Source organism: Homo sapiens, chromosome 6 (genome assembly GCF_000001405.40).
Source record: "Homo sapiens chromosome 6, GRCh38.p14 Primary Assembly".
NCBI classification, from domain to species: Eukaryota; Metazoa; Chordata; class Mammalia; order Primates; family Hominidae; genus Homo; species Homo sapiens.
In genome coordinates this window covers 135,618,464-135,635,489 of record NC_000006.12, presented here as the reverse complement: position 1 = coordinate 135,635,489, position 17,026 = coordinate 135,618,464, and the positions used below count along the sequence as shown (strand labels likewise).

Sequence of the window (17,026 nt, the reverse complement as noted above, 5' to 3'; positions counted from 1 at the left end):
TTCTTTTTTCAAGAAAGGTTAGCTAACAAGTCATCTTTAGTTGTAAATAGGGAAAAAGCACTCTTGCCATTCACCATGTACCACATACCATACCGTGTTTGCATTTTTTATAGTAGAATGTATGGGTTTGGGGGGGTTTTTGGTCATTTTTTGTTTTTTTTTTTTTTTTAGATGGACTCTTGCTCTGTCACCCAGGCTGGAGTGTGGTGGCACAATCATAGCTCACTGCAGCCCCAAATTCCTAGGCTTAAGTGATCCTCTGCCTTAGCCTCCCAAGTAGTTGGGACTACAAGCAAGTTCTACCATATCTGGCTAATTTTTTTTTAATTTGTAGAGACAGGGTCTCACTATGTTGAGCAGGCTGGTTTTCAACTCCTGGTCTCAAATGATCCTCCTTTCTCAGCCTCCTAAAATGTTGAGATTACATACTAATTACATAGTAGACATTTGTAATAAGAATTTTAAGTCTAATTGGATAAGGTTTTAAAAATCCAGAAGAAATTTTAATTTAAAAAAAAAAAGAAAAACTAAAGTTTGCGCTACTCATACTATTGACTTACATTCAAGTTGATATCCTTAGTGGGAGGAGAACCACACAAAATGAGTGGGCTGATAATATTAGCCAAAATAAACATATCCATAGAAAACTATCATTCTATCTCCAAAAGAGTATTAATAGTATTTTTAGTTTATTATGTCTGCAACTTACTGATCATGCTGATATACTGGAAGTTCAGCAATAATTTTTTGTCAAGGATTCTTTAAGACCCAAAAGCTATTGAGAAATCTTGGTCTAAGGAGAAGAAAAGAGAGCCGAAGATTGAAGCTTGAAGAAGTCCAGCGTTTCAGATCAGATGAGGAGCACTGGCTGGTAAATGAAGAAGGAGAAGGAGCAACTGAAGAGGCAGTAGACAATCCAAACGGATCTAGTATCATGGAAACCAAGTCAGTGGAGGATCTACTGGAGTGGCATGGTCAGCTTTGTTGTGCTTTGATAAGAGGGTAAGTGATAAGAAACTTATTAATGTTTGTCGAACTTAGCTTCAGGGAGATGATTGATAACTTTGGTTTAGCCCTTTCAGAGGAAGATTAATTAATGAATGAGAGCTAAGGAAATGGAGCTGTTGAGTAAAGACAAGTGTTGCCTTGCTGTGCTACTTCTTATGCACAGGTAAAGATGGAAAGGATTAGGGTGGTAACAGGAGGGGAAAATAGGATAAAGAGATGTTTATAAATTAAAAGACTTCCATATGTTTAAATGCTGATGAGGAAAATCCAGTAGAAAGAGAGAAGGAGAAGATATAGAAGAGAAGGAGGATGATAAAAACATGATAAGAAAGAAGTGGGCTTCTGATGTTGGTAAGAGGATTGGCCCAATGGCAAGGAGTGTCACCTCCAACCAAAATGGGAGGGGGAAACAATGGGTACAGAGGCAGGTAGGCTTGTCGTTAGGAAGGTACTTTAAGTTTAGCCTGCTTGGAATCCCATCATTTTAGTTTTTAATTCTGTGCCCTCTCCATTACATACAATTCCTTGAATGTAAACTAAAACAAGAGGGTTTAAAATAACAGCATTTTGCATATTCATCTCTCCTTGCTTTCCTTTTTTATGCCTTCCACTACCTTGCCTGTGCTCCCCCATCCCCAGTGGGACCAACAACAAGGAGCTCTCTTGTTTACTGAGTAGGGTCAATAATTCAAAGCCCTTTGTGGACTTGTATAATGGTGAACGTTTTTGCCAGGAATCATACCATAATTGGGCTTTGAATAAGAACAGAGTCCATATGCCACTACTCTTTTCAGGCATTAAATCAAAAAGAACGGGGGAAAAAACTCTGAATTCAAGCACATAACATGTCACCTCTCCTACATCATGTCAGTGTATACTGTGAATGCTATGAAATTTAGGAGGTTTCTGGTAAGGAAAATTATTTGTGCTTTTGAAAGAGAGTAGGTAGAAATACGGGAAGTTAAAGATTAATTACTTCTTCCAAGCAGGAACAAAACTGGGCTACTGTTCAACTTCTCACTTCAGTTTTGATTCTAAATTAGCTTTAAAAATCACAACAAAATGGACAAATAAGTAATTCTTGATGATACGGCACGGCGCAAGGATGAAGAAATCATTTATTACTTTGGATGCTTCATGCAGAAAACAAACTCTTCTAAATGAGACCTTGCATCAGGGAAATAACTTCATTATACTGAAATATTTTCATTGTATATTTCATTATATAGAAATATTTCTGATCTACAGAATTTTAGAATTCCATGGCCACAAAATTTTTAATGAAGTATAAAAACTTTTAGAGGCATTCTTTTTTTATACACCTAAAACCTTATATTAGATTGAAAGCTCTTTAAAGGGGACTTGTTTTTGAATAAGTTGAACTATATCAAATTTCTGACTTTTGAGTTAAAAAGGATAGAATACCCACAGTGGCATGGGGTTCAATTTAATACTAGAACCATGTAGCACATGATAGGCACTTGATAAATTATTTTTAAATGAACAAATAAACCTGAGAACTCAGGCATGTATTCTTTTCTATGTGGAAAATGCATCCTAGAAAAGGACATCAATAGCAAGCCAACTTCAAACATTCAACAAAACAGCACATGATTGCAAATTAACTACTATACAAACACAAAAACTTATAATTATCAAATGAGTTCTTGATGGTTTCTGATAGCTTCAACAAAAATCAACTGTGGAGAGTCTAAAATTTACTCGGTTGGTATTCTAGAAATGCCAGCCTTGTAGAGGTCAATGAAACATTAGCCAAACGGGGAAACAAATCCACGCTGAAGGATGTAGGTCCAATTACTGAAACTAACTTTTTTTCCCAATTTCATTTTCATATATTAGGAAAACATCAGAAAAAGTTCATAAACTCTGAAAATAAACAAAATACAACTTTTCGCAATTATGTTGAATTTAAACTTGAATGTTATCGTAAACCTTCTGGAAACTTTTAGGTTGAGCACACTTAATAGAAGTTGCAATTTTCAAGTAATTTTGGAATTTAGACATTAAGACTAGTGCCCAATCTAAATTTCAGAACACTACAATATCTACAAACACACACAGCCCAATCCCTATCATATCCCCCATTAGCACTTATCATTATTTAAAACAAATATGTATTTAATAAATAGGTGAATCTATTCATTTTGTAATTATATATTGAGCTCCTATCTTGTAAAAACAAGTATCTTTTGTTTCTTAGTCATAAATATTTTTAACAGATGATAGCTCTAATTCAGGATGCAGGAAATCTTTTTCTTTTCGTCTCACTAATGAAAACATAAACTGTTCTATGTGATAAAAGCCAGTTACACTAGTCATGTATTTTAATAAAGCCATCATAAATTACTAACTTTTAATAAAAAATTTTAAAAAGCCATGTGTGCCCATTTTTGCAGGCAATTCAATAATAAACACAGCTGTTGCACTGAGACGCCTCAGTAACTGCTCTAATTAGTCATTTTTGAATCTGTGCTCCCATAAAATATTTCTGGCACTGTGTGCTAAACATTGTACATGGCACATCTCACTGAATTCTCACAAAAATCCTTTGTGATAGGAGCTAATATTGTCACCATTCCTTTACATAAGGAAACTGAAGCTCAGAAAGATGAAGTAACTCTCCCAGGGTGACATGACTAGCAAGAAATAAAACTGTAATTCATATCCACACCTCATCCAAATCCCTTGTCTTTAATTTCTATGTTTATATGGTCTCTCACTTGGGAATAAGAACTTCTTCCTTTTTCAAACACTTAATATTGCCCCACCATCACAAGAAGTCACCAGCATCAGGAGAGGTGGCAGGCCATCTTAGGGAGGCCACAGAAACTATGGTCCTCTTCCCATGCCCTACAAGAGAGATACACATTTAAATAATTTAAATATTTAAGGCTCACTCTACTTCTTAAAATATGCAGCTTTATACAGTGTTTAAGAACTTCAAAGGTAAACCTAAGTTCACGGCCCTGGTTAACAAATCATTCTCTCTGCTTCAGAGCTGTGATCGACAGCAATTCCCTTTAACTGGAATGATTATACCCTTCCCTCCACTCAAAGCATAACTTTATGCTTTTTCTCTTGGACTCTCTTCAAGACTGTCCTTCTCAATGAAGTGATTCCTGAATGACCTTAACTGACCCCAGGGCAAAAAAATAATGTTTGCTTATTTCCACCAAGGGCACCCCATGCTCCGGAAGAGCTGGGTGTATCTTTGTTTCTCTCCCCTGAGTAAGTCAGTATCAGTCCTGTCTACCTTATTACACTGGTGCCCCAAAAGCAAAGATTCTACAGTGAGTGTGTTCTCAGTAGTTATGACTTAAATCCAGACTAAAATGCTACAGATGATTGTGTCATTCTGCTGAAAAGCAAAGTTCTGTTCACAGGGTCACCAAATCCTTTCCCGCTTTAGGTGTTTGCTATTACTGGCTGCCCCGCAGTCCTGTGCCACCTCCCAGACCAGGAAGCACATGCTGTTTCCTATCCCTCCTGCTACTCTGCAGGAAATGCTTGGCTTTGAGTAATCAGGGATGCATTGGCTGGAAATGCTAGTGGTGGAGACAGAGCGGAGGCTGACACCAAATCCAGACAGCGTAAGGACTTTTCCCTAGCCAGGTGTTTGACTTTCTACATTTCCTCCTGCTGTTCCGCCTCTAAGTCCTGTCTACACATAAATAGTCATCTAGTCCAGTTAGATGTGAAGTCTAAATACTAAGTGATATTAAGTATTTTTACTAGTAAAATACCCTGAATCATCATATTAAAATGATTTTCTGGTCCCAAATGCTGTTTACAATTCAATTCTAAATTGTTACTATCCGCCTAAAATCAGGAGGCATTTTGTAACTATCAAACAGCAAGAACGTTTCCATGGTTCCGTTAGGAAAAACAACATAAAATTCTAACTCACTTTAATTCTATATCCACCAACAGTAAACAAACTATTCACAGGAAGAAAACAAATTGCTTTTGAGTCACAGAGGAAAGAGTAAGAGAAAATTGCTAATATTTATTGTGTGTTTATTACTAGGTCAACTCAGATTCTCCAAGAAGCAGGCACCAAGACAGAATTAGATGTGAAAGAAATACACTCAGAGAAATGCTCTTGAAGGATAAAGACGCCAAGGAGCAAGAGGAACTGTAAAAACCTCCAGATCATGTTGCTGTTTTCAATAGTTCTTTATATAGAACTAAATGAAATTGTCTGAGTTTTGACAATTATAATATTTTATTTCTGATTAATCAGAAAATAGTTTGCCATAAAAATTTATCACTTCTGATATTAGCACATAAATTTGTTTTTATTGTAATTTCAAAACTAATGTCAAGACTGAGCAAATCATAAGATGGAAGCACCTGTGAGTGCCTGGGACCCTCAAGATCATCAAATCCAGCTTTCCCTGCAGAGATGGTCTTTCAACTTTTGCCTGAACATCATCCTTGTGAGGGAAATCGTTTCATCACAAAGCAATCCAGTTTACTACTGGAACACTGCAATTATTTGAAGGTTTGTCTTTTTATTTCTTTTTATGTAGCCTTTAGGGAAAATCTTCCTACAGCCTTCCATCTAGAGCTATGAGAGGGGATACTGGAAGAAAGTTACTGAGTGCCCCCTTCTTCTCTGGCCTGGGCTAATGAACCCTAGTTCATCTCATGTTTTCTTCTATACAATTGTTTCTACAATAATAAACACCTCAGTCAACTTCCTCTAGATCTCCTATAATTTTTTTAATATCCTTCAAAATATATGGCAACCATAACTTGATTGTCCAGCCAAATGAAGCGACTACACTGAATACAGTAGGATAATCTAGTCTCTGTATTTCTCCTAATGAATTAGATTTTTGGCATCACATGTCACAACATTGCTTCATATGAATTGGTACTTAAAAGAAAACTCGACGCCATAGAACTACAAAATTAAATCCAGGAAGAACCTCAGAGACGATCTTCTTCCAACATCCTCTTTCTCAGATAAGGAAATTAAGGTTTTAAAAGATCTTGTGCCAAAAGTCACACAGTTGACTTGTGGCAGTTAAGATTAAATTTTAAAATTCCTAATGCAATGTTTTGTTTTGTTTTGTTTTCCTGCAAAGTGTGACTGAGCTTGTTCTCCCTACCCATCATCCACTTGTTTCTTAAGCTAAGTGCAAAATTTTACATTTATCCTTTTGTACATGCAATTTAGACTTTGTGAGCTCTCTGAATCACCAGCCATAGGAGTCTTTATAATGATTAGGTGAAGAGAATTCGAAAGTGGGCTAGTAAAATACCCTGAATCATCATATTAAAATGATTTTCTGATCCCAAATGCTGTTTAGTCCCACTTTTCTCCCAAGGGCAGCCCCTGTGTTCTGCTCTGACTGGGCCCGTTCTTTTGCCTTACCTACTTTCTTGATCTTGACAGCAAAACATCTGGATCTACTGGATAACACTGCTCACCAACACTGGTCATCTTTGTCTTTACCCAAGGCAAGTATGCCACCTTATAAAGGACTTTGCACTGGACATGATGGTTTACACCCTACTCGAGAGGCTGAAGTGGGAAGATCATTTGAGCCCAGGGGTTCAAGACTGCAGTAAGCTATACTCATTCCACTGCACTCCAGCCGGGGTGACAGAGTGAGATCCCCAATAATAATAACAAATAAATAATAAAGGAGTTTGCTTCTGTTGATCTCTGAGTCTTTAAATATGATTACCACTTACTCAAATATGATTACCACTTACTCATTCTCCTTAGCTGAGACCTTAGCTAGTGTTCTGACTAAACAGCTTATCCTAGCAATGGTTGATCATGTCATTTTACTAGCTCACTTTACCTCCCCAGACGGCAGAGCCTCGTTCCCCAAGTAGAACCTGAGATTTTGGTGCCATTAATTCATAGGTTTTTCTCCACCTATTCATGTCCATCTACATTTACTCAATTATTTCTAGCACGTCTGCTATGTGTAAAGCACACATGAGCTTTCACTTTTTCATTTGGTGGCTTGTTTTGGCTCTTTAAACTTATAGTTAAAGCCTACTGATTTCTTCCCAGGTTTGAGTATTTCACCTTATTGTTAAAGTCTACCAATTTTTTCTAGTTAATGTACAAATGCACTTTAAATCCAAGGAAACCAATGCTCTGAAACCAAATGTAGCATGTATACATCTTAAATGTGTAAATTAGATATCTTTTGCCCTTAACTGGCAGGTATGGATTTATTGGTTTGCTAAGAATTTAATAGTACTTTTGCTATAGTTATTTGCTCTAAGATACTCACTGGAACCACAATTTAATAACATGGCCTACACAGCCAATATATTAAGTTGCTGTTATAGAGGACTCAGTCATTAACTCAGTAATTTCATTTTAGCTTCTCTGTGTTGGTGGTGGTGGTGTTATTTTAGCTTCTGTTCCTCCTTATATTCCTGGCCCCCACCAAAGATAACATGGAGATTAAATGATTCCATATTCTGTGCTAACTGTGGTCAGGAAGAAAAAAGAAAACTATCTATAGAGCACTCCCTCTCTCAATAGCTTCTCTTCCCTACCTGCCTATTGAGGCTTAGCAGGAGACAATGCCTTGGAGGAAGACTAAGTCATTTAAAGACTGTCATTACTTCCTGGTAACAAAATGAAATATGGCAAGTTACAATTTTATTAATATGAACTTTATTTTTCTTTCTCTCAATTATCCACTTATCCATCTATCCAAAAGCAAAAGCAAACAAGCAAACATATTTCAGAAGCCCCTCCTATGAGCTCAGCAGTTTGATCTAGTTAATTCAAGGGAACATTAGGGTGAGAAAATCTTTGAATGCTCTGAAATTTAACATAAATTCACATGAGAGGTATGAGAGTTTTAGACTTGGTTTCAGAAAAGAGAGATCCCCATGAAAACTTTGAATTGTTGGAGCATGATATAGTAATCCCAGCTCAACTCACTCTGCATTTGGTTGACATTGACTAGTACACCCTGATATATCCTAATACACCTACTGTGAATTCCTTATCTTGACTTAACTGATCTTCTAGATAGAAGCTTTGCTGCCCCCACACTGGTGCTCCCCAGCAATCATGAAAAAGAGTTCTAAAAGTTTAGGGGAAGTTAATCAAACATACCAAACACAGGAATTATAGAGGCACATGCCACTGGACTACTTCTGAAATTAGTAATCTGATTAATTATTAACTCCTTGCAACAACTCAAGGCAGTCTAGTACAGAGTAAAGAGCTAACCTACCAACATCTAAATCCTTCTCTGATTATTACAAGTTGTGTAACCATGTACACTTTTCTTAACATGTTTTGTCTCAGTTTACCTATAAAACAAAGATGTTAACAGTACTTATCAAGAAGGTTAAATAAATTAATACATGTAGAAAACTTAGTGTGTAGTAAGTGTTATAATTGTTAGGTATTATTTTCCTAATCTCAACCTTGTAATAATAAAATCTCAACCTTCCAATAATAAAAAGGATAACACAAACATATTCCATTATGTTTAAACTCCATACCATGTGAATCCTTAGTAGGAATTCCAATTGTCTTAGTCTGTTGTATGCTGCTCTAACAAAATACCTAAGACTGTGTAATTTATAAAAAAAGAAATGTATTTGGCTCATGAATGTATTTGGCTCAGGCTGGGAAGTCCAAAATCAAGGGGCTGTATCTTGTGAGGACCCTCTTGCTGTGTAATCCCATGGCAGAAGACAGGAAGGCAAAAGAGCATGACAGAGGGGGAAGAAGGGGACCAAATTTATCCATGTATCAGGAACTCACTCCTGTGACAACTAATTCACTGCTGCACTAATGGCATTAATCCATTCATGAGACCAGATGTGGTCTTATAACCTAACCATTTCTTAAAAGTCCCACCTCTCAAACCTATGGCATTGAGAATTAAGATTCCAACACATGAACTTTGGAGGACACATTCAAACCATAGCACTGATATACTGTCTACAGGCCTTTGTTTACCATTCTTTGACATATCTGACCACAGACCATACACACTGTGACAAACCGAAAGATTTTCTTCTGTTGGTGAAACTCTGTCATCGGGCCAGTGAAGGCATGAAATTGAGAGGTGAAGCTGCCTGGGCTTCTGGGTCAGCTGGAGACTTGGAGAACTTTTCTGCCTAGCAAAAGGATTGTAAACGCACCAATCAGCACTCTGTGTCTAGCTAAAGGATTGTAAATGAACCAATCAGCACTCTGTAAAAATGCACCAATCAGCTCTCTGTGTCTAGCTAAAGGTTTGTAAACGCACCAATCAGCACTCTGTAAAAACAGACCAATCAGCGCTCTGTAAAATGGACGAATCAGCAGGACGTGGGCAGGGCCAAATAAGGGACTAAAAGCTGGCCACCTGAGCCAGCCCTGGCAACCCGCTGGGGTCCCCTTCCACGCTGTGGAAGCTTTGTTCTTTCACTCTTTGCAATAAATCATGCTGCTGTTCACTCTTTGGGTCTGCACTACCTTTATGAGCTGTAACATTCACTGCGAAGGTCTGCAGCTTCACTCTTGAAGCCAGCGAGATCACGAACCCACTGGGAGGGACAAACAACCCTGGACATGCCATCTTTAAGAGCTGTAACACTCACTGCAAAGGTCTGTGGCTTCACTCCTGAAGTCAGCAAGATCACGACCCACCCGGAGGAATGAACAAGTCTGGATGCGCCACCTTTAAGAGCTGTAACACTCACTGCAAAGGTCTGTGGCTTCACTCCTGAAGTCAGCAAGACCACAAACCCACCAGAAGGAAGAAACTCTGGACACATCTGAACATCTGAAGGAACGAACTCCGGACACACCATCTTTAAGAACTGTAACACTCACTGCGAGGGTCCATGGCTTCATTCTTGAAGTCAGCGAGACCAAGAACCCACTGGAAGGAACCAATTCCGGAAATAAAATGACTGAAGTAGCCATTACATGACCACGATATTTATTATTATATGTAAATAATTAAGTATATAAATGTCTCTTTTTTCAGGGTTCAAAACTAACTTCGGTGCTAAATGGAGAACTGAGACAATCATACAGGCTTGGCAGATTAGTGTAGGGCAAACAAGAGAGGGAAAAACATGGTTTGAATTAGCCTATGAATTGTTTCTATATCTTCTCTCACTTGAGCATGATTAAATAAACATTTGCATATTCACAATAGCAATTAGAAGAAAACATTTTAAACATGTTGCTTTAAACTAAAAAATCTAAAAACATGCAAACAACCATTCCAACCACTACCTTGAACCTACAAGTACTATTTTATCCTTCGGGATCCCAAGCAACACATAAATTTAAAGCAGAGAGCACACAAGAACCCCAGTAGAAAGGAAACAGCTGGTTAACAGCTGCATAGTGATACCATACGCCAGTTTTCAATGAAAAATAACACGTTTGATTAGAGCCTATAAGCTAAACTCTTATCCCTGGTTATCTCGTGGCTAAACAAGGTTCTCTCATGTTTTATTCCCTTCACATTTGGGCCCCATCCTGCAGCCCTAGATTAAAGGCAAAGAAGAAACATGGATTTCAGTCACATTATCTGCTTTCTAAATCCAAATTCAAAACTATTATTCATTCAAAGTAAATATGCATAGCATATCATGAGAGAGAACATTTTGTTCAAGGAGACCCAAAGAAAGCATGTTAATTATAACTTGTATTCACGTAGCACCTAACTTAGGAGGAGTTCAAAGCAAATGCACGTGTGGAAAAGGTCAAACCCACCAGTGAAACAGGAAAGCCATGGAGCTTCTTTTCCATTCCATGTCATCCATATAAGGCGGGGTTTCCTTTTATGTCTAAGTTTAGACATCATCAGAAAAGTCAAACCACAAGAGAATGATGAAAATTGTGCTAAAATGTGGTTGATGTTTATGTTTTCTGTACCAACACAACCCTTTGGTGGAAAGTCTGAATCAGCTTCTCTGAGAACTTACTTATGACACATAATTAGAAGCGTTTACTCTTAAAAAAAATTTTAGCACTCGATAAAGCTCATCATATAGTCTGTATAAGCAGCATACAAGGTTATAGCACTATGGGAGTTAAGAAAATAAATGAAGCTTTGGTTCTGTGGTGGGAGAGGTCAATTATATCCACAGGTTGAAGGCAGTTGTTACTCAATAGGCAGAAATAAGGAAAAAAATTGAGACCTACATACAAGGAGAATAAAATGACATAAAACATGATAATGAAGAGAAAAAAGTGAGGGATATAAAGGGAGTGGTGAGTAGCCCCATACGTCTAAAGATGGGTTAGAGTTAGAAAATTTATGACATGGGGAGTATTGTATAGGGCTTAAAAGTGAGGGTGTGAATCCCAGATCTACCACATGGTTCTCTTGTGACCTTGAATAAGTTACATAAACTCTTCAAGACTTTGTCTCCTCTTCATTAAAATGGAGTTAATAATATTACATAGCTCATATGGTTTCCACAAAGATTAAGTGAGATAATCCCTGTGATAATCACAAAGGGAGAAAGTAGGTTCTATTCTTCATCTTTGTATGTTTGGAAGTAAGCACAGTGCTTGTTATATAGTAAGTGCTCAATAAATGTTAGCTTCCATGATGATTAAGAATTTTAAGATAAGAAAAGAAAGGTAGATCCAGAGCAACAAGACATTGGGCTATCACATTAAGGGACTTGGATTGTATATAATGATAAATGGAGAGACAATAGTAAAGTTTGTGATCAGAACATTGCTTAAGTTAATCTAGAAAATAAATTGTAAGGAGACTAGAGTTAGGATTACTACAGAGGAGGCTAAAGAGAGCCCAAGCTAGATGGGTGACTGTGCTTCTGGAAAGAGGAGAAAGAAGAAATATCTTGGAGGAAGCTTAGGAGCAACCCACAGGAAAGCCATAGAATATTTTCTTTAGCTGGGTGTGGCGGCAAGTGCCTGTAGTCCCAGCTACTGGGGAGGCTGAGGCAGGAGAATTGCTTGAAACCCGGAAGCGGAGGTTGCAGTGAGCAGAGATCGCGCTACTGCACTCCAGCCTGGGCGACAGAGCGAGACTCCGTCTCTACAAAAAGAAAAGGAAAAGAAAGCCATAGAATATTTTCTACATCTTCATAAAAACAAAAGGGCTGAATTCATAAATGACTTAAGCTCAACATTAGACTGACCACTGGGACAATGAAACAAACTCTAAGACTCAAATATCCTGAAGATACAAATTCCAGATAAATTAGACATTTACTGGCAGGAAGTTAGAACTTTCATCTTAACGAAGAAAAATTCAGGAAAACAGACCATTTCTATGACTTAGACCTCAATCAAAGTCCCGAGGGAGATATTTATTTAATAAAATAGTTAGGAGTGCTGACTGGGTAGCCAAACTGCCCGAGTTCAATTTCAGCACCGCCACTTTCTAGTTGTGTAGCAAGCTACTCAACCACTCCATACCTGTTTGCTCCTCTATACAATGCTCACCCCTGCTGGTATCTAATTAATAACAGTATTTATTTTAAAAGGTTTTTGTGAGGATTAATGATTTAATACACTTTAAACACTTAGAACTGTGCCAGGTACATAATTAACCATTGATAAATGTTAGCTTTTTTTTTTTTTTTTTTTTTTTTTTGAGATGGAGTCTCGCTCTGTCACCCAGGCTGGAGTCCAGTGGCGCGATCTCGAATTACTGCAACCTCCCCATCCCAGGTTCAAGCAATTCTTCTGCCTCACCCTCCCAAGTAGCTGGGACTACAGGTGCATGCCACCATGCCCAGCTAATTTTTTGTATGTTTTTTTTAGTAGAGAGGGGGTTTCACCGTGTTAACCAGGATGGTCTCGATCTCCTGACCTTGTGATCTGCCCACCTCAGCCTCCCAAAGTGCTGGGATTACAGGCGTGAGCCACCGTGCCCTGCCAAATGTTAACTATCTTAATTCCTGTGCTATTTCGATTTGATTTGGGCCAAGATTTACTGGTGGCATGTGGATCAATCCCAAATGCTATGCCACTTTCCCTGTGATTCACAATGATGACCCATACACCATGATATACCACTGCCCCTAATAAAACAGACTCATTTTTCACTTCCCCAATCTCCCACATACCAAAGATACAAGGTTTGACAATTTTGCACATAGTATGAAATGTTACTCTTCCTTGCATGCATCATGCATGTTCACATCATAAAGTGGAATGGCTCTAAAAACCAAGTGTTGTGGCTTCAGATGACTGATAACAGATGTTAAAACAAATTCCTGATTTAGGTTAAAAAATCTCAAATACTTTCAATATTTGTATGATTTTTTTAAAGGAGACATTTTTCAAATATGAGTTACAAAAACAAAATCCATATTCAAATTACATTCTGTATAGGGATTTAAAAGAAAATTAGCCGGGCATGGTGGCTCATGCCTGTAATTCCAGCACTTTGGGAGGCCGAGATGAGAGGATCGCTTGGGCCTGGGAGTGTGAGACCAGCCTTGGCAAAACAGTGAGACCTTGTCTCTCCAAAAAAAAAAAAAAAAAAATTAATTAGCTGAGTATAGTGGTGCATCTGTAGTCCTAGCTACTTGGGAGGCTGAGGTGGGAGGATCACTTGAGCCTGTGAGGTGGAGGTTGCAGCAAGCCAAGATTGAGCCATTGCATTTCAGCCTGGACAACAGAGTGAGACCTTGTCTCAAAATAAATAAATAAAATAAAATAAACCAATTTTGTGTTATATTTTTAGAAAGTGAGTTTAAAAATAATAAAAAGTCTTCTGTTTATCATCACAGAGTAGGCAATTTCTCCATAACTACTATGTAAAATATAAAATGTAGACAATGAACTCATAAAAAATAAAATAATTATACTGTTTATCACCACATAATTGCTATATAAAATTATGAAATATATATTAATTCAAGTGTCTTATTCTAACACACAAACTTTCTGTTGCACATAATGGGCCATTTCAAGCCTTTGATGTTTAATTACTATTTAATGATAGACTACTAATTCCAAACCAGTTCACAAGGTTGAAACTGTTTCTTGGATCAGTTCAGCATCCACTGCAATTTTAACTACCCTGAATTACTAATTTAGTATCATCATGGACATGCTAAATTAATTATTTCACTTAATATTGAGCATAAGCTAAGTGCATTGGAAATCCGCATTTCTTGATATCTGAAAGAAATAAGAAACTAAGAGCTACAGATTTTTAAAAGAGCATTCAGAAAACTTCAGAATGAATCAGTGCAAGTAATCACAAGTCTCTAATTTCTAGGCAATACTTTATTTCATTAAACATGGAATCTTTGAAATATTCCTTTAACACAGAATAGAGTTTTATGTATCCCAACTTGTCCCATACTGATCAGAAAGTGACAATCATGAATGCCTAAAGAAACCCTTTAAAAGTCAAGATGACCTTTCCAGAATGTACACTCCCATTTTGTGCATAATTATTCTACATGGCAAACAAAAAGACCATGATTATTTTATAAAACCACATCTGTCTAGATAAAGCAAACCATATTTTTATGTCACTCCATAATATTAAGCAACGTGATTAAGTATTCACATCTGTCATCCTTTTATTCTTCTCCTTTATCATCAGCTAAAAAGAAAACATGAAAGAAGTGAATTGATCTTTAACCAGAGGAAAAAGGAAAATACCCCACCTTTGGCTTATCAACACTGGCAACTGTTACCAAGCTCTGGGCTCAAAAGACCTAATAATTACCTTCAGGGTAAGGGACAGTAACAACATCCAAATTCCTCCCAACAGACCTTCCATGCAATTTATCTTATTGCCTCCTGGAAACAAGATGTATATGTTAGGTTTGCAGTGTCAGTGTGATCCTTTCCATTCTTCAATGTGAGAAATAAACAGGTAGCAATATGTATCATGGCTAAAAACTCAGGCTTGTATTAGAATGCCGAGAGTTCAAATCTCAGCAACCCCACTTACAGAATGTATGATGCTGGGCAAACTATTTCTCTAAACTTCAGCTTTTTTATCTATAAAATAGGTCCACATAAAGGGCTTAGAACAAACCCTGGTACAATGTAAGTCCTCAATAAATAGTAAACAATAAAATTATTATCACAACTTAATTAAGAGTGACAGATACATTCTGCAGCAAAGGCATGAATGATGACTGTATTTGTGTGACTGGACAAGGGCTTTCTGTTTGTTACTTTCAGTCAGAGGAGACAGCATTAGAGAAATAAGTGAGGCCAGGATTCAGTTCTTAGAAGCATAGAATAAGCCCTATTTTGGCTCCCTTCTCCCATTAGAGACAGCCGCATTTTCTTGTGCAGCACAGCGCCTGCCACATCCCTGAGACACAATGGTGAAGGTGAAGGCCAGAGTCAACGAATTTGGCTATACTGGGTGCCTGGTCACTAGGGCTGCTTTTAACTCTGGTAAAGTGGATATTGTTGCCATCAATGACCCCTTCATTGACCTCAACTACCTGGCCTACATGCTCCAGTATGATTCCACCCATGGCAAGTTCCATGGCACCATCAAGGCTGAGAATGGGAAGCTTGTCATCAATGGAAATCCCATTACCATCTTCCAGGAGTAAGATCCCACCAAAATCAAATGGGGCGATGCTGGCACTGAGTACGTTGTGGAGTCCACCAGCATCTTCACCGCCATGGAGAAGGTTGGGGCTCATTTGCAGAGGGGAGCCAAAAGGGTCATGATCTTTGCCCCCTCTACTGAAGCCATCATGTTCATGATGAAAGTGAATTATGAGAAGTATGACAACAGCCTTAAGATCATCAGCAATGCCTCCTGTACCACCAACTGCTTAGCGCCCCTGGCCAAGGTCATCCATGACAACTCTGGTATTGTTGAAAGACTCATGATTACAGTCCATGTCATCACTACCACCCAGAAAACTGTGGATGGCCCTTGCAGGAAACTGCGGCCTGATGGCCACAGGGCTCTCCAGAACATCATACCTGCATCTACTAGCACTGCCAAGGCAATGGTCAAGGTCATCCCTGAGCTGAACAAGAAGCTCACTGGCATGGCCTCCCATGTCCCCACTGCCAAGGTGTTGGTCGTGGACCCGACCTGCCATCTGGAAAACCTGCCAAATATTATGACATCAAGAAGATGATGAAGCAGGCTTCAGAGGATCCTATCAAGGGCATCCTGGGCTACACTGAGCACCAGATTGTCTCCTCCGACTTCAACAGTGACACACAGTCTTCCACCTTTGATGCTGGGGCTGGCATTACCCTCAACGACCACTTTGTCAAGCTCATTTCCTGGTATGACAATGAATTTGGCTACAGCAACAGGGTGGTGGACCTCATGGCCCACATGGCTTCCAAGGAATAAGGCCCCCGGACCACCAGCCCCAGCGAGAGTATAAGAGGAAGAGAGAGGCCCCCAGCTGCTGGGGAGTCCCTGCTGCACTCAGACCTCACAACACTGAGGATCTCCCCTCTTCACAATTTCCACACAGACCACCTGAAAAGGGAGGGGCCTAGGGAGCTCCACCTTGTCACGTCCTATTACTAAAGTCCCCTGTGCTCAGTCAAAAAAAAAAAAAAGAAAGAAAAAGGTCCTACTTTATTGAGCAGCCATTATTTTTTAAACCAGGCATGTAAATAATAAAAATAATTCAAGCAGTGAGGGTGGAGTATGCAGTCAATGAAGAAGAGATTGGTATGCTCAGTAAGAAATCAATTGTAATAGGCTGGGCACAACAGCTCATGCCTGTAATCTCAGCACTTTAGCAGGCCAAGGCAGGTGGATTACCTGAGGTCAGGAGTTCAAGACCAGCCTGGCCAACATGGTGAAACCCCGTCTCTACTAAAAATACAAAAATTAGCTGGGTGTGGTGGCAGGTGCCTGTAGTCCCAGCTACTCAGGAGGCTGAGGCAGGAGAATCGCTTGAACCTGGGAGGCAGAGGTTGCAGTGAGCTGAGATCGCGCCACTGCACGCCAGCCTGGGAGACAGCGAGACTCCGTCTCAAAACCAATAAATAAATAAATAAAAAGAAATCAATCGTAATAATTTAAACTAGAGAAGCTTA

The 17,026-nt window shown here is 38.7% G+C and overlaps 2 long non-coding RNA genes and 1 pseudogene across 5 annotated transcripts in view; 2 read left to right on the top strand and 1 right to left on the bottom strand.

Annotated features, from left to right (window-relative positions):
* AHI1-DT (AHI1 divergent transcript) overlaps positions 1 to 17,026 on the bottom strand; it is a 218,255-nt gene that overhangs the window by 80,566 nt on the left and 120,663 nt on the right. The window lies entirely within an intron of this gene.
* On the top strand, positions 809 to 6,703 carry LINC02524 (long intergenic non-protein coding RNA 2524). Its single transcript, NR_183501.1, has 3 exons — positions 809 to 1,002; positions 5,057 to 5,533; positions 6,434 to 6,703. It is a non-coding gene; the product is annotated as a long intergenic non-protein coding RNA 2524 (long non-coding RNA).
* GAPDHP73 (glyceraldehyde-3-phosphate dehydrogenase pseudogene 73) lies at positions 15,248 to 16,523 on the top strand (annotated as a pseudogene).